The 18,872-nt window shown below is 40.3% G+C and overlaps 1 protein-coding gene across 10 annotated transcripts in view; it reads right to left on the bottom strand.

Annotated features, from left to right (window-relative positions):
- CXADR (CXADR cell adhesion molecule) overlaps positions 1-18,872 on the bottom strand; it is a 123,220-nt gene that overhangs the window by 86,643 nt on the left and 17,705 nt on the right. For all 10 annotated transcript variants that reach the window (XR_001754814.2, XM_011529476.3, XM_011529478.3 and 7 more), the window contains exon 2: positions 2,427-2,593. Coding sequence is in view for 9 of the 10 variants with exons in the window: in XM_011529476.3 (XP_011527778.1) it covers positions 2,427-2,593 (167 nt within the window). In the remaining variant the exon portion in view is untranslated. The remainder of the gene's footprint in view (positions 1-2,426; positions 2,594-18,872) is intronic.

Below are 18,872 nucleotides of genomic sequence, written 5' to 3'. Positions count from 1 at the left end.
TTTTACATGTCTTCAGATTCCCCTTCACAACCCTGCAAGGACGATGGCATTGTCCACATTGACATTTAGGCTGAGGAAAGAAGTGGCTCTCACTGATCAGCTTTTGCCAAGTCACACAACAAAGATGCAGACCAGATCCATTTAACTTGGCACAGTACATGATTATCATTTCAATATCATTTATAAGCTTACAGAATGCGTGTGAATACAGTATTTTGCTGAATTCTTGTAATGACCCTGAGATGCTAGGTATAGCTGTTCCTACTTTACACATGAGGAAACAGGTTTATGAAACACGGGAGGCAGCAGAGGACAGTGCAAATGATAACAGAGCAGCTGTGAGAGTCAGAGGGACCTGGGTTCAAATCCCAACTGCACTTGTTACTCTGGGCATGAAAATCTCTGGGCCTCTGTTTCCTCCTTGCCATATGTATAATAATTCTCACCTTACTATGTTGTTTTAAGGCTTAAGTATATACAATTAAAGTATACAAAACACTGCCCAAGCACGCTGTTTACAGTAACTGCTGACTAAAGAGATCACATAAGGAATAAGAATGCAAATTTTTCCAGCTCAGTCCTCCAATTCCTAGTTTTTAACCATTCTGTCTACTAGCTGAAATATATTAAAATAGGGGCTCTGTTAACATATGTAGTTTAAATTCCATGTATGCATCCTCTTCTGCATCAATCTCTTCCTAACCCTTCTTTCTTTTGGTCTGATGTGACTGTGTTTTAGGTTAGAAGCTAGGTTTTTAACCCAGAAACGGTCACTCAGAGTCAAGTCCCAGTTTCACATTTATCTTACAACTCCTGTAGACGGCAAAGCCGTGCCTCTCACTCAGCATGGACGACTTGGAGTCTTCTTCTCATTAACAGACACGCTAATGGCTCAGGGCACAGTGCTTCTTGGTCTCTACATGCACCTGGTCACAAGCTTCACTCAGCAGAAGCACGGAAGACCCACGCTCTCCATATGGTTCCTAGGCTTCCCCTATCTTACGCACAGGATCAGAGTCCTGGGCTCTAAAGCGGGACAGGCACTGCACTGTCACAGGAACGGGGAACTGCAGGACCTCAGACAGGAGCCTGTACTCTAGGTGCCAGCACCTCCAGAGAGAGAGAAGGGAGAGAAGGGGGAGGTAAGAGTGACAGGGAACAGGGCAACGAGGCTGAGTAGATAAAATGAGTCAGGCCCGATTTATTTTGCTCAGGGAAACAGAAAGAAGTTCTGGTAACAGAATCAGGGCAGAGGTTACATCTTTGGAGGGGGTGGCTCTAGTCACTCACAACTTGGGAAAGCACCTTAATTATTTCCTTAACATAAACATCAAGGGCAAACCGACTGGGTTTGCCAAAAATATTAATTACCTAACTGCACTGATTCAGCCATTAAATGGAAGGATGTTACTTGTAACTTTTAAATATCCCCTTCTTTTACATGAACAAATGAAGTAAAAACAAAATTTCTCTTCCAAATATATATATTACTATATTTACCTAAATATTTGGACTTATTTTCCTCTCCCTGATCTAATATAATTTATTAACTTTTTAAAAAATTAAATGTGTCAGACAAAGCCAATATGCAACATTCTAAATAAAGTATTCTAGAACCATTGAAAAGGTAAAACATGACATATATTTGGAGATGAGATTATTAGGCATGTTTCCTCCTCTGTGCTATTTTTGGCTTTCCAAGTTTTCTACATTAGACTCTTATTACTTTGATTAGAAAAAATACTGAAACAATGTTTTAAGATTTTTTAAATTTAAGACTAAATATTTTATAGATTGTTTTTTGCTCTAAAGACTTCATTTTTACACTGGGAAGTTTTAAAGTCAAAGTAAAAAAAATAAATTTAAAAAGATTTTGTCTTTTAAAAAATTCATTGGACAGGATATTTAACTTGAAAAAATAAGGAAAATAGACTGTAATACTATGTAGTTGTTACACCATAGCTAATGACACTTCTACTGCTGACAGAATCCTTGGGTAAAACTTAAAAATTTCAATTCTGTCTAACGTTTAACAAAGCACAGTTATGTGCCATCTCCTAACACAACACACACTCCTGTCTCAACGTCATGCCTGCTCCATCTAGGCCTCTGCTATTCCCCGCCTCAAATCCAGATTGTCAGAACTTTCATAAGTTCCTCTTCTTCCCTGAAGTGTCTCTAAGAACTCCAGTGATCTTTTGCTCTTCTGTAACCTTAGGTCACACTCATTATCTATTTCCCTCCATTACATGTGTCCTCAATTTCCACCAGAGCAATTGCCTTCCTCACCCAGACCATAAAGCCTGAGAAGTTGGGGGGCTTCCTTCCTAGCTCCCTGCAGCCCATCCATGTGACTGGCAAGGTGATGGACACATCAGATAGTTGCACAGACAGCTGCTAAGCGAGCAAGGACATATCAAACTTACCACTTGATCCACCTTCTGATTATCAGCTGGTGATATCAGCCACTCGATGTCCAGCGGTCCCTGGTCTTCGGGACTAAGCGTAAATTTGCATGGCAGATAGGCAGTTTCCCCTTTGGCTTTTTCAATCATCTCTTCAGGAGTAGTGATACTCAAACTTCTGGCGAAATCTAGAGAAAGAAATGTACAAGGGACTAAGCATTTGCTATACGCTGACAGCCCACACAGTGCCCCGCAGCCATTCAGAAGCAGCACATTGATGCGAGGGATACAGGACGGGGTTTGGGTCCCGAGGAATGGAGTCCAAACTCAAGAGATGCCCAGTTTTTAATTTGTGCCTTTGTAAAAGTAGAATGACACAAGTAGTATCATCTTATTTGATACAATTCCCTTAAGGAACGCTGTGAACTTCCTGACATTATGTAAGTTTCTACTGGTAGAAGGTTTCTATATGCAAGCAGATGTTTAAAACTGAATTTGGCTAGAATCTCTGAAAGGTGAGTGATACAGGTTGGATTTGTGACCCCGCCCAAATCTCATGTTGAACTGTAATCCCCAGTGTTGGAAGAGAGGCCTGGTGGGAGGTGACTGGATCATGGGGGTGGATTTCCCCCTTGCTGATAGTGAGTGAGTTCTCAGGAGATCTGGTTGTTTAAAAGTGTGCAGCACCTCCCCCTTCTCTGCTCTGGCCACGTGGGACGTGCCTGCCTCCCCTTCGCCTTCTGCCATGATTGTAAGTTTCCTGAGGCCTCCCCAGCCATGCTTTCTGTACAGCCTGCAGAGCCAATCAAACCTCTTTTCTTTATAAATTACCCAGTTTTAGGTATTTCTCTATAGCGGTGTGAGAATGGACTAATACGGTCAGTCATGTCATACAAATTCAAGGCTACATTAATTCATGCTCACCACAAACACACAGGGAACTAAGTCACTGTCGGTAGGGTATATGCTGATCAACTGTGACACAGTTTCTGCTAAGGCTTCTTTAAATTTTTATTAGATTTAATTCTATAACCTTCTATTGAATGCTTAAAAATATTTCTAAGCAATAAGTTTTGATGAGGATAATTCAAAAAGAAAAGGAACACTGTCAATTTACTTATCTTTTAAAAATGTACAGCCAGGCACGGTGGCTCACGCCTGTAATCCCAGCAATTCAGGAGGCCAAGGTAGGTGAATCATCTGAAGTCAGGAGTTCGAGACCAGCCTGACCAACATGGTGAAACCCCATCTCTACTAGAAATACAAAATTGGCTGGGTATGGTGGCACATGACTATAATCCCAGCTACTTGGGAGGCTGAGGCAGAAGAACTGCTTGAACCTGGGAGGCGGAGGTTGCAGTGAGCCGACATTGTGCCATTGCATTCCAGCCTGGGCAATAACAGTGAAACTCTGTCTCAAAAAAAAAAAAAAACAAAAAAAACCAAATAGTTGACTCATATTATTTTTGAGACACTTCTTACTGTTCATCCCTTTTTATTTCCCTTCTGAAAAAGCCAATAATCACATTTATTTTATTTTATAAAAGACGTCTTAAAATTACATAACTTAATTTCACCAACATGGTGAAACCCCATCTTTACCAAAAATACAAAAGTTAGCCTAGCTGGGTGTGGTGGTGTGCACCTGTAATCCCAGCTACTCAGGAGGCTGAGGCAGGAGGATCGCTTGAACTTGGGAGGTAGAGGCTGCAGTGAGCCAAGATCGTGCCACTGCCCTCCAGCCTGGGTGACAAAGCAAGACTCTGTCTCAAAAAATTAAAAAATTAAATGCAAATTTAGTCTGTAAGTGAACAATCACATAAAACTTTTTTTCCTATTCATACTATAAAAGTATGCATAGCACTAGTTTGTCACATCTATGGTTTACTTGTGATTACCCAACATTTTCTTAAGTATAAATTCAAACATCTAAAGTGTGCATAACCATTAAGTTTCACTACTTTCTGTTGAAGAGCAACTCTATTTGGACCTATGTCACCTGACTCTGACAACCTTCAGAGCTGGATGATGACCTGGAGGAGGCCCTAAGCACTAAGATATGGTATGGTTCACGGGGCCTGCCTCTCTCTTCCTCTCCCTTTTCCCCTGCTCCCACCAAAAAAAAAAAAAAAAAAAAAAAAACACATTAGAGCAAAATTAGGAGTAAATCAATCCAAAGTCCTAATTCTCCACATGACTATCTTGATGTTGTTTTTCAAATAAATTTTGACAGAACAAACCAAAATGAAGAGGAGTTAGTCACTGCATGATTCTTTCCATTAGTCCTAAAATAAGCTTAATATACACAGACTATCAGTTCTAATAAAATTTTAATAAAGTCAAAGCCAATAGACTGAGAACTAAAGAAAATCCTGGTTACATTCAACACCATTTACGTTTAGGCACCATCGTAAGCTTTCAATCACATGTAAATGCACTCCTGAAATAAATTTAAATTGGGATTCAAATTATCTGCACCTGCTCCCTTAAACCTGAGGCCTGCCCAGCTTTGACCAACAGGATGTGCCAGGAATGACCTGTGTAGTTCCGAGGTTAGGCCTCAAAAACCCTTGCTGCACCCACTCTTGCCTCCTCGGTCACCGGCCACTGTGTGAACAAACCACAGAGGGGGCAACGGAGGTGTCTGGCCAACCCTCGAACACTCAGCCCTAGTCTAGACCAGCTCTCTGCAGCCCCACTGTTGAGCCCATAATTTTCCATCCTAGCCTAGTCTAACTAGCAACCCACAGGATCATGAATACATGATTTTTGTTTTAAGCCTCTAGAGTTTGAGTTGTTTTGTTATACAGCAAATATTGATCAGACATCATCCAAACCCACTGATCCAGCCCAAAAGTCCAACTACTCTGGCCTCCATTTCATGCCCATGTTTCTATTTAAAATGATATGATTTGGTATTTATGTACATAATCTCAAGTGTTTCTCCTAAATGTGTAACCTAAATACACTCTATTATTTCTAATAAACTCAGTTCCATTCCTATCTCATTCATTAAGGCATTTCTACCTCTCCACCCTACAATGATTTTTCTTTCTCTATGAATGCTGATTGTACTTTACTTTCTACCATCGGTATCACTTACTCGGCACTTAGCATATGTTGCCTTGGAATTTTTTTTCCTCTATAAATTTTATGGTGAAACTGACTTAGGTGGCATCCAGAGTTGTGTCACATGTTCTATTTTTTATTTTTTTAAGAGATGAGGTCTCACTATGTTACCCAGGCTGGTCTCTAACTCCTGAGGCTCAAGTAATCCTCCTGCCTTTGCCTCCCAAAGTGCTGGGATTACAGGCTTGAGCCACTGTGCCTGGCCTGTCACATCTTCCTAGATGTTGAGAAACTTATCTTCTTCCCATGTTACCTTGTATTTTTGCGAACTTTTAAAATGCATGCCCTGATTTACTATTAAATCATTAGCTCTATTAGGGCTGAAATAAATTGCAAATTGCGGCTACCTCTATCTCCTGCTGTAGTTCTTTGCACATAATAGAAAAGAATTAATGAGTGAATTATAAATTTGATCAATTTCAGAAATTTAGTTTGGTTATTAACACATCATGCATCAAATAATATGAGTAATCTAAGTACCCTTAAAAATAAAAATCTCATTCCAAAACAAACCAAGAAATAGTTCAAATATGGAGCTAAGAATATATAAGTGAGAATAAAAAATTGCTATCAATAACAATAAAAACTTCCGGGTTACTGTGTGTTTTTAGAGTTTTCATTTTGTAGAAATCAAATAAAAATGTTAAATAACTTCAATTAGACACCTACATTTGTAAAAGTTGAAATCCCCCAAATTCATGTTCTCAGTACTTACACTATACAAAGTGATCAAAATAAAATACAACTTAGTTTTTATATTATCTTTCTTTCTCGTTTGATACATAAAAAGTAATTTTAAAAAACTGCCTTAAAATAGTCATATATGTGTAACAAAATAATCTGAAAAGATATATGTCAAATTGTTAACAGCAACTACTTTTGAGAATTAGGATTTTAAGGAAGACAACTGTCCATTTCTGCTTTATTCTGAGATTTTTTTAAATGAGTATGCTGCTTATGATATTTTAAAACGATTTTTTAATGACTTTTAGATTTTTTTGTTTTTTGTTTTTCTTTCAAAAAATGGTTAAAGCCTTCAATTCCTCTTCACTGTGTTGCACTAGAAATGAATTAAAATCTTGAGATCATATAAAACAGTTCCTGGGTTTCCTAGCAACACTGAAGGGCCTCTTTTCACAGAGGAATAGTTTTTCAAGTGCTGAAGTACGCAACAGACACAAATTACATAAGACAAAAGACAGACACTTGGTCTCAGACAGCGGCCCTGGGCATCTTTCCTAATACTGCCCAATTTTATTTATGCAGCAAGTAGATTAACAATTTAACTTGCAAACTACTTGCAGGTTGAAACACGGTTTAAAAGGTAAATCAAATATCAGATCTTCTTACAATTTTATTCAAATTTATAATTCAGGATGTGATAAAATATGCGGCACATTATTAAGCTGCAAGTATTTGCAGTCTAGTTAATAAGTGCACAGCACTAGATCATATTATGTAAATAAACAGACGGAACCACATCCCATATTGGCAGTGACTGAAATAACATTTCCCAGTTTTCTGCTTGCTTTTCTTATCTCCAGTTTCTAAATCACTTGGATCTTTAAAGCTTCTCTTCTGCACAGTCTGACTTATATCTGAGCATCAAAGTGACATGAGTTCATCAAAGAGTATTTTTTTAGCCCTTGATGTCACCTCCTACTAAGGCCTTAGAAGATCTGGTTCCACTATAAGATTGGAAGCAAACTGGAGAGAATGGAAGAAGCTATTCTTCTAGAAGGGAGGTAATGTTATGAACTGATAACATGCGTTGGCTTCTTTCACTTGTTTTTTCAAATTTAAGCTGTTTGTTAACCTAGGTGGTCTTCAGTGATCTTTTCCTTCTGGCAATCTTAAAGTCATAAACATTAGAAAGTGCTCATGAAATGTTATCACTAGTTTTTTAAAAAGAGAAGTAAACATGAGAATTTTTAATAATGTTTTGAGTGAGGAAAGCCTTAGAGAAAAGTAGAACAGAAAAACACAAAAGCTATGGAAGAAGACAAAAATTTAACTATACTAAAAATCTTATTAAAAAATCACCATTTGGCAAAAACAGAGTAATAATTGTTTCAGGCAAAATATTGAAAATTGGTGCTGAAAGCTATGATGAGAAACAGCATTTGTTACATAATGTCAAAGTATCTTCCCACAAAACACTTTCATTACAGAGGAAAAAGTAGTAACTTTACAGTGAAGAAATCTGGTATACATCACCTTAATCAAACGATCAAATTTACCTTCACCAGAACAAATGGACATTATGTACCTCCTGATTAGAAAAGAACATAGTATTACTTCTGTAGTATTGCATACCAAGTCAAAAATGCATACTCTAGCCATGAAAAGACATGGAGTAAACTTAAACACAAATGCATATTACTAAGTGAAAAAAGCCACTGTATGATTACAACTATATGACATTCTGGAAAAGGCAAAACTACAGAGAGTAAAAAAAAAAAAAAAAATCAACAGATGCAGGGGAAAGAGGGAAGAGGAGAATAGGTGGAACATAGGATTTTTTTTTTGAGACAGAGTCTTGCTCTGACGCCTGGGCTGGAATGTAGTGGCGCGATCTTGGCTCACTGCAAGCTCCGTCTCCCAGGTTCACGCCATTCTCCTGCCTCAAGCCTCCCGGGTAGCTGGGACTACAGGTGCCCACCACCACGTCCGGCTAATTTTTTTTTTTGTATTTTTAGTAGAGACGGGGTTTCGCCGTGTTAGCCAGGATGGTCTTGATCTCCTGACCTCGTGATCCGCCCGCCTCGGCCTCCCAAAGTGCTGGGATTACAGGCGTGAGCCACCGCGCCCAGCCGGAACATAGGATTTTTAGGGCAGGGAAATGCTTCTGTGTAATACTATAATGGTGGCTGCATGTCATCCATTTGTCCAAACCCGTAGAATGTACAAAACCAAGAGTGAACCCCGATGTAAACTATGGACTCTAGGTGGTAATGTTATGTCAATACGGGTTCATCAATCCTAACAAGGTACACTCTGGTGGGGGGCGTGTTGACAAGCGAGGGAGATGTTGGTGCATGGGGGAAAGGGGTACAGGGGAACTCTGTACTTTCTGCTCGATTTTGCTGTAAATCTAAAACTGCTGTACAAAATAAAGTCTATTTTTAAAAAAGATTAACAAGAGAGCACACAACCATATTTATAATTAAATAAATATAAATTAGAATAACGTAACATATTTCAAATATAAAATTGACGGTGGTTAAAAAAATTCAATAAGGCCAATCTTGGCAAAAGTGTTGGAAACTGTGGCAACACAGAAAGTAAATCAGCACAACCTACTGTCAACGCAGTAGAAGACGTGTGAAATGTCAGTGTGCTAATCCACTTTTAGGAACTGCAGCTGAACTCTCATAACTGAACAGCTCATATGTACAAGGATATTACTCACTGATGCTCTCTGAAACACAAAAACATCTGAAAACAACCTAAATGTCCAACAACAGTCAGGAAAATCAGAGTAAGAAATTCAAGCTCACCTACCTCAGACAAAGAGCAAGGACAAACAGATCAGGTAGAACCAGTCCCCTCCAGCAAAAAGATGCTACTAAAATTTGGCTTCTGGGGAGTAATGCTGACTTTCACTCATATAAATAGAAGTATGACTAAATATTGCCACCTTCAGCTTTGGTTCCATTCACCCAACAGCAAATACAATCATCGAATGAAATTAGGTCTTTCAAAAGGAACATAACATTAAACATATAATGTATACTAATAAATATATTAATAGAATAAAAATACTTTTGGGGGACGGCGGTAGAGTAAATCATGTCCCCCCCAAAATTCATATGTTGAATCCCTGACCTCCTATGTGACTGTATTAGAGGTAGGGCTTTTAAGGAAGTGATTAAGATTAAATGAGGCCATAGCATAGAGCCCAGAACAGAAGGAACTGACATCCGCTTAAGAGAAGGAAATACCGGAGCACTCTCTCTGCCACGTGAGGATAGAGGGAGACGGCAGCTGTCTACCAGCCAGGAAGAGGGCCCTCACCAGAAACCAAACTTGCTGGCATCTTAATCTTGGACTGCCCAGACTCCAGAGCTGTGAAAAACCAAGTTTCTATTGTTTAAGGCATCTATGGTATTTTGTATTGGTATTTTGTCTATGGCATTTTGTTACGGCAGCCTGAGCAGACTAATACAGACTGCATACAGAGCAGTGAAGTTTCTCATCATGGATAGGGTATACTGTTCAACTGGACATGAAGGTAATGATTTCAGCAGAAATTCTCAAGAAGATTTAAACATATTGGGAATTCGCAAAATGATGGAAAAATGTACTTTTCAATCCATTAGCCAATAAAGACACGAGGGAACTGCCTGGATGGTCCCTCTCAGGAGAAAAAAAAATTATGTACATTAATATACAGAAGTGCACAGGAATTTAAATTTATTGCTTATCTGTAAGTCAAGCATTATGCAAAGGGCTTTAATTATTTCATCTGATCCTTACAAAACCTGTGGAACAGGCATTACAGACAATGACATCAAAGAACTGCTTCTTATGCAAAATCCAAGTAAATGTTGAATAATACCAGTTACTTAATCCAGACTAATGTGGAAGGAGAAGAGGGAAGTGAAAGATCATAAAGGCACTGAAATAAGAAAAATGAGGATATGAGACAAGAAAATTCAAGAGCAGGAAGAAGTCTGTTTAGGTAATAGGGATATCCTTGTAGATCCCCTGAGAATCTAAAATAAGGAAAGCACAAACCAGCGACAGTTTTAAAGCTGGGCTGGAAGACTTCTAATAACACAAGAAAATATGGGGGTAATTTTATAATTCAACCCACATACTTGATTTGGAGGCAGGGGGACCAGTGGCAGCAAGCTGAGATGATGTTTGATCAAACTGTTTGTTTCCCCAGCACAACCCTAAATTTCTCCTTTGAACTCCTTATCTCAGTGACGTGACCTACTACCAACACTTTTGGCAATCAATCCCTGCATAAGATCACAGATGCAAGAAATAGCTGCATCACCAATCATCTGCACAAACCTGGAGACAAAATGAAAGGCAGCAGGGTATCAACGTTCACTCATTCAAAGCATACTATGTCCTCTTTAATACATTCCAAATCCAACCATTTTTACCTATATCCAGGCCACTATTATCTTTCACGTGGCCTGGATGTAGCCTGCTAACTGGCTTCCCTGCAACCACACTTTCTCATTCTAACTTGTTCTCCATACTTCACCCAGAGTGTTCTCTATATAATTGCTTTTATTTATCTATTTTTTTGAAACAGGGTCTCACTCTGTTGCCCAGGCTGAAGTGCTGTGGCACAACCAAGGCTCACTGTGGCCTCAAACCCCTGGGCTCAAGGGATCCTCTCCTGCCTCAGCCTCCCAAGGAGCTGGGACTACAGGTATGTGCCACCATGCCCACTAATTTTATTTTTATTTTTATTTTCCCAGTGGAGTTGCAGTCTCGTTATGTTGCCCAAGCTGGTCTTGAACTCCAGGGCTCAAGTAATCCTCCCACCTCAGCCTCCCAAAGTGCTGGAATTACAGGCATGGGTCACTGCATCCAGCCTATAACTCCTTTTGTAAAAAAGACGTCACTGACATGTCTGACAATCTCTGGTCGCTCCTCATTGATTCAGACACCTTAATTCTCCCTCAAGGTCCTTTGACTAGCCACCCTCTAGCACCTTTAGCTTCTTACCACTTCCCACTCCCACAGTATAATACAGCCATCATCATCTCCATCATCATCTCGCCTCACTCAGCACGAGCACAGTGTAAGATACCTCCTCTTGCTGGGCGCGGTGGCTCACACCTGTAATCCCAGCACTGTGGGAGGCCAAGGCAGGCGGATCACGAGGTCAGGAGATCTGAGACCATCCTGGCTAACACGGTGAAACCCCATCTCTACTAAAATATAAAAATTAGCCGGACGTGGTGGCACATGCCTACGGTCTCAGCTGCTCAGGAGGCTGAAGCAGGAGAATGGCTTGAACCCGGGAGGTGGAGGTTGCAGTGAGCCGAGGTCGCACCACTGCACTCCAGCCTGGGCAACAGAGAGAGACTCCATCTTAAAAAGAAAAAAAAAAAGATACCTCCTCTTCTGCTCCATCCCACCTTTTAGGCTTACTATGGTCTCAGTTCAGCCCCTTCCTCCAGAACATATGTCCTCTAATTACTCCTCGGACTAGCACTAACAATGCTTTCATCACGGGCACTTTCCTCACTTTACTGAAACTGCGCTCACCCTCTGCCTCCAGGGACTATTTCACATTTGACTTTGGTGGCAAAGCTCATGCTGTTCTTGATCATCACTGGTTTTTTTTTAGCAGAGCAAAATTTTGGGCACTTGGCATTCAACAAATATTTGTTGAATGAAGGTTTTCTTTTTTCTATCGCTGAGGAAACAAAACAAAAGGAACACTTTGAAACATATTTTCTGTGTTTTTAACCTATCCCAGAAAGATACTAGATGTAAACCCTGATCAGTGATGGCACATGCACAGGGATTTTAAAGATCATGACTCATTGTAGAATTCAAGCAGGGACAGAGAGGAGCTATGAATTATGAGTTAGGCAACTGCATAACTGCATAATCTGTCTTGACATCTAAGCAGTCAACAAAGCACTTTGTTGTAACAATAAAACAGCAATCAGGCAAGTCTGGATGCCTGGAGGTAAGCAGATAACAATTTTGAGATCTCTGAGGGAAGTGGCAGGCAAAACAATGTTCACAGGCACAAGTGCCTTTGTATAAGAGAAGGGAAATTGCACTAGGAATGAATGACGGTACATTTACAAATAGTGAAAAAAATTGACAACAAAATGAACCACAACAGTGAGATTGTTTTGGTCTGGGACCAATAATAAAAACAACAAATCAGAGGAGGCACTAAGGGGAAAAAGACAAATCAGTCCACATGTGTGGAACACTGTTGGCATATGCTTTTCCTTCTATGTGTAAAAGTCCCTTTTCTCTCTTGCTCCACCTTGTCCCCAGAGAGCACCTCTAGTCATTTATCAAAATACATTTTAGGTTGGGCATGGTGGCTCATGCCTGTAATCCCAGCACTTTGGGAGGCTGAGACGGGCGGATCATTTGAGGTCAAGAGTTTGAGACCAGCCTGGCCAACATGGTGAAACCGCGTCTCTATTAAAAATACAAAAAATTAGCTGGGCATGGTGGTGGGCGCCTGTAGTCCCAGTTACTTGGGAGGCTGAGGCAGGAGAATTGCTTGAACCAGGGAGGCAGAGGTTGCAGTGAGCTGAGATCACACCACTGCACTTCAGCCTAGGAGACAGAGTGAGACACTGTCTCAAAAAGAAAAAAAATAAATAATGCACTTTACTTGTCAGCTCATCTCAGAAGTTCCCCTGATCCCCACAGGCAGTGTTAATTGCTTCCTCCTCTGTTTTATACATTTCCTCTAGGTATTTACATGTCCCTATTCTGAAGCACATACTAACTTAACTGGAAGTGAACGTGCTTCCTCTCTGGAGGGTGTGTCCCTAGACTTATTCAGTCAGCCTTCTCCCTTCCAGCCTTGGACAAGTAGAAGGAGGGAGCTCAGAGTAGAGGGAAAGTGAAAGGAAGGAGCTATCTGAAGGCAGACCGGTGATGGGAGAGAGGACCATAAGGCATGAGAAGGGAGCCCTGGGGTGACTGTGCATCCAGAGAAGCAAAGAACCCGAACAATGAAGCCTACATGGGAGAAACAGCTCAGGGAATTGAGCGAGCCTGGTCACATACTGATGGAAGGAAAGACAGGATACTTATTTTTTGATGAGAAATGTTAGCAAATCTGAGAAGAAATGAACACTGATGCTACTTTATGTATAGTTGTTGACATAAAAGAAGTATGTTAAGAAAAACTTTTATTGTGGATACTCTAAAATCACAACTACGTATTCTTCATTCTATAGACGAAAAGAGCTGTTATCTTTCAGCTATCTCTAGGATGAAATAAAGGAAAAAAGATTACACACTGATACATGATTCTTCTCGAAATATCTGGCGCCATTCCAAAGAAATTAACAAAAAAATGAAAAGTTTTACAAATAAAAACAGGAGTTTTCTTTATTTTGGAGGCAGAGTCTGGCTCTGTCACCCAGGCTAGAGTGCAGTGACACAATCTTGGCTCACTGCAGCCTCCACCTGCTGGGCTCAAGCCATCCTCCCACCTTAGCCTCTCGAGTAGCTGGGACTACAGGTGCACGCCACCATGCCCCACTAATTTTTGTATTTTTTTGTAGAGATGGGGTCTCACTGTGTTATTCAGGCTGGTCTTGAACTCCCGAACTCAGGCGATCCACCTGCCTGGGGCTATCAAAATGCTGGGAGTACAGGTGTAAGCCAACGTGCCCAGCCAATAAGAGGAACTTAAATTTATATTCCAAAGTCTTACATGCTTGTTCGGTTGCTTGGAAAGGGGATATGACCTTAATACCAAATGTTATGAAGAACTTATTTAATATTGAGCTTTGTGAAAAATGTCAAAACCCGTCATAAGGGTTACTATTTTAAAGGGAGAACACATTCTGAATGTGAATGCTGAATTCGAATCATAGAAATCAGAAGACTTACTATAAAAACACAATAATATGGCTCACCCCTGTAACCATCCCAGCACTTTCGGAGGCGCTGAGGAGGAAAGATCACTTGAGTCCAGGAGTTCAAGACCAACCTGGGCAACATAGTGAGAATTCATACCTACAAAAAAATAAAAAAATTAGCCAGGCATGGTAGATCTAAGCAGGGTACATCATAGTGAGAGCTCATATTTACAAAAAATCAAAACATGAGCCAGGTGTGGTAGTGCACGCCTGTGGTCCCAGCTACTAGGAAGGCTGAATAGGAGAATCACTTGAGCCTGGGAAGCTGAGGCTGCAACGAGCCATGACTGCGCCTCTGCCCTCCAGCCTGGGCAACAGAGCAAGACGCTGTGTCAAAACACACACTCAATAATAGTCAAAAAATGATTCACTACAGCAACTTTAAGAAATAAGTTAGAGGCCGGGCGCGGTGGCTCATGCCTATAATCCCAGCACTTTCGGAGGCCAAGGCAGGCGGATCACCTGAAATCAAGAGTTTGAGACCAGCCTGGCCAGGATGAAACCCCATCTCTACTAAAAACACAAAAATTAGCTTGGCGTGGTGGCATGTGCCTGTAATCCCAGCTACCCAGGAGGCTGAGGCAGGAGAATCACTGGAACCTGGGAGGCAGGGGCTGCAGTGAGCCAAGATTGCACCATTGCACTCCAGCCTGGTGACAGAGCAAGAGTCCTTCTCAAAAAAAAAAAAAAGGAAGAAAATAAGTTAGACAAATCAGGAACTAGTATGTTAAAAGATTTATAAGTAGATTTAGAGGTTCGAGAAAATGAAGAAGAAGATTGATAAAGACAAGTGTAATTTTGTGCATTTAATTACAAATACTATAGATGTCTAGGTTAGCAAGTCACTGAGATACTCTAAACTCTATACAAAAAGGTGACCACCATGCTATTTGCACCATTTCCTTTCCCCCTCTGCCAGACCCTAACTCCAACCTTTGCCTTTCTTCTTCCCAGGAAGTTGCTTTGAGATTAGCAATATTTGAAAGTCATCTAAATAGTGAGTATCCCAGTTTCTAGAAGGGAAAAACACTTTAAATATGTTAACACTAATTAACTCTACCAACTAAGGCTTTAAATACTGCTAAGGCCGGGTGCCGTGGCTCACGCCTGTAATCCCAGCACTTTGGGAGGCTGAGACAGGCAGATCACAAGGTCAGGACATCAAGACCAGCCTGGCCCACATGGCGAAACCCCGTCTCTACTAAAAATACAGAAACTAGCCGGGTGTGGTGGCAGGCACCTGTAGTCCCAGCTAGAGGCAGAAGAATCGCTTGAAACCCGGAGGCAGAGGTTGCAGTGAGCCAAGATCGCGCCACTGCACTCCAGCCTGGGTAACAGAGCGAGACTCCATCTCAAAAAAAAAAAAAAAAAAAAAAAAATATATATATATATATATATGTGTGTGTGTGTATATATATAGCTATATATATGTGTATATATATATATATAGCTATATATATATATATATATATTGCTGAGAAAGAGAAGAAAATACAGGGAAGTAGAAATTATGCTCTTCATTGTCTAGGAGTTTTAGTTCTTTAATTCCCACGAGTGTTACTCAGTATAGACTGTTAATATGTACTCAGAGCTAAGGAAATTAATACAGCAAGATAAATTAGTAACAATGAGAAATGGCATAAGTATACACACTTGCTCTTCTTTGTACTTTTCAAATATCAATTCCCAGCTCCCTATCCCCAATGAGAAATCAAAAAGCAGGCCCCCAGGAAATAAACTGGAATAGAAATGGGGAAACCATCACCTTAACAATAAACAGCAACTAAACAGTTACTGAGTGCTTATGACAGACCAAGCACTTTTCAAAATGCCCTACACGTATTAACTCTTTCCATTCTCATAACAACTCCAAGAAAAAGGTACTAATATTATGCATCCGTGTTTTGCAATGAAGAAACAAACACACTGAGACACATCTAAGCTACTGAAGGAGCAAGATTCAAATCTAGGCCGACTGATTCTGGAGCCACACTCACTCTGTATGTAGAAGTCAATCCACGAACATCATACAACAGTAATAAAGATTTCATTTCTGAAGTCACTATAAAATACAATGGGTGCATTATTAGAAATCCTATTCCAATCACCATGGTAGAGAAATGTTTGGAATTTATACTCTTCTTCTATGCTACATTTCTAGTAGCATTTTAGGTGGCACATGGTTCAGGGGTTTGGGTGAAACTTTTTCTTTTTTTGGAAAAACAGAAAAATAAATGTCAGACTAGGTTATCTGACTGTTGCCAAATTTATTACACAAAAAAGCTCTGTATGATTTTGGACAAGTTGCTTCCCTAGGGCTCAAATGTAAATTAGGGGTGTTGAACTAAATTATCTATTTCAGACCTAACTAAGTATGTTCTAATTCTAGCCCATTGATCAATCAACCAACAAGAAGCCTTCCCTGACAATCATTTCTTCTCCTCCCCTGTATCCACATCTCAAAGGCATTAGCAGGAGTTCTCTGAGTCCAGCTCCCAACAAATGCAGACATTTCTTAAACAGTAGGAGTTCTAAAGTTAGATCTGGGTTCAGATTCAAATTTATCTCACTAAATGCTTGGCCACAGGCAATTTCTAGCCTCTCCGTGACTAGATGTTTTCCTCTCTAAAATGAAGATTAAAAATAATAATGCCTACTTCATTGGAGAAATTAAATAACACATGTAAACCTCTTAGAACAGCTGCAGCACATCCTGGTGTTCACTCTTCAATAAATAGTAGCTAGTAGGCAATTCACTGTCATCTGATAAGCCTAATACTTCTACTATGATACATAACCCTATGTCTTGTCATCTTTTATATTTAAAAGGCATTTAGCAGTGCCTTCCACTAGGAAGAACTCACAATTTATTATGTAAAAAAAATGACACTGAAATGTATCCACTAGATTTGGCAATTAGAACATCATCGGTGTCCTAGGCCAAATCAGATTTAGTGAAGGTTTTGGGGAGCTGCAACAGGATATTATCTGACCACAGTGCTTGAGAGATGTGAGCAAAGACAGAAATGACTACTAGTTTGAGAAATTTGTTCTCGATGAGGGGAGAAAATAGACAGTGTATGATATGTGGTCAAGGAAAGGTTCTTTTTGAAATGGGAAACATTGAGTACATTTATAAGTCAAAAGGAAAAAGCAAATAGAATAGGAGACGTTAAAAATCTTATAGCCAAACACCAGAGACTAAAAGATCAAGCCCTCAAAAAAGAATGAGACCTAGAAAACTGTCAATAAGGACCTGTTCACCACACCTGTAATAGCAACACTTTGGGAGGTTGGGGCAGGAAGACTGCTTAGGCCCAGGAGTTTGAGACCAACCTGGGCAACATAGGAAGGCACCATCTCTAAAAAAAAAATTTTTAAGTTAGTTGTACGTGGTGGTGCATGCCTGCAGTCCCAGCTACTACGGAGACTGAGGTGGGAGCCTGGGAGGTCGAGGCTGCAGTGAGTTGTGACTGCATCACTGCATTCCAGCTTGGGTGACAGAAAAAGACCCTGTCCCCCACCACCAAAAAAAAAAAAAACCCAAAAAACAAATATCAGGAATAAGACACCTTTTATTAGACCCTAGGTACCGTAGCTCAAGCCTGTAATCTCAACACTTCGGGAGACAAGGAGGGAGCATCACTTGCTCAACCAGCCTGGACAATACAGTGAGACCTTAACTCTAAAAAACCAAAAAGAGATTGAAGGAAAGATGTAAACATTGGCACACTTATCGTTAAGTTTACACATTAGAGTACAAGAAATTGCAAGAATTTGTACCTGATATCCTCTGTGACAAACGGGGACTACAATATTAACTTAAAATACAAGAGGCTGAACATTTTGTAGGTAGAGAATTTTAGAGACTGGTCCAAGTCTGAGACACCTGTGAGGAGGAATGGCGAAACAAATCAGAGTCAACAGAGCAGCAGAAAAAGTCTGACATGAGCTGAGAGTTGATAAAGCTGAGCAAAGATATACTGGGATGTGCCAAATAATTTTCTCTAGTTTTACATATATTTGAAATTTTCCATAACAAAAAGAATAAGAAAAGAAAATTATAATGAGATGGCACTAACACATCCACCAGAATAGTCAAAATGAAAGAAGGCCATGATAAGGATGTAGCGCAACTGGAACTTTCTTAACTTTCTTTTTTCTTTTCTTTTTTTTTTTTTGAGACAGAGTCTCGTTCCGTCGCCCAGGCTAGAGTGCAATGGCACAAACTCAGCTCACTGCAACCTCCGCCTCCCTGGTTCAAGCGATTCTCCTGCCTCAGCCTCCTGAATAGCTGGGATTATAGGCGCCCTGCCACCACGACCAACTAAGCTTTGTATTTTTAGTAAAGATGGGGTTTCGCCACGCTGGCCAGTCTGGTCTTGAACTCCTGACCTCGTGATCCACCCACCTCGACCTCCCAAAGTGCTGGGATTACAGGCGTGAGCCACTGCGCCTGACCGCAACTGGAACTTTCATACTCTTTGATCGAAGTGTCAACTGGTACAATTAGCTTTGGAAAACTAACTGGCAGTATCAACCACAGTGAAACTTATGTATAACCTACAGGACTCAGAAATTCCATTGATAGGGAGAAATTTATGTGCATATGCATGAAAACACATGTAGGATAATGTCACAGTAGTATTTTCTTTTTCTTTTTTTTGAGACTGAGTCTCGCTCTGTCGCCTAGGCTGCGGTGCAACAGTGCAATCTCGGCTCACCGCAACCT

This window comes from Homo sapiens, chromosome 21 (genome assembly GCF_000001405.40).
Source record: "Homo sapiens chromosome 21, GRCh38.p14 Primary Assembly".
NCBI classification, from domain to species: domain Eukaryota; kingdom Metazoa; phylum Chordata; class Mammalia; order Primates; family Hominidae; genus Homo; species Homo sapiens.
Note: the sequence above shows the minus strand (reverse complement) of the source record. Positions and strands in the feature narration are given on the sequence as shown.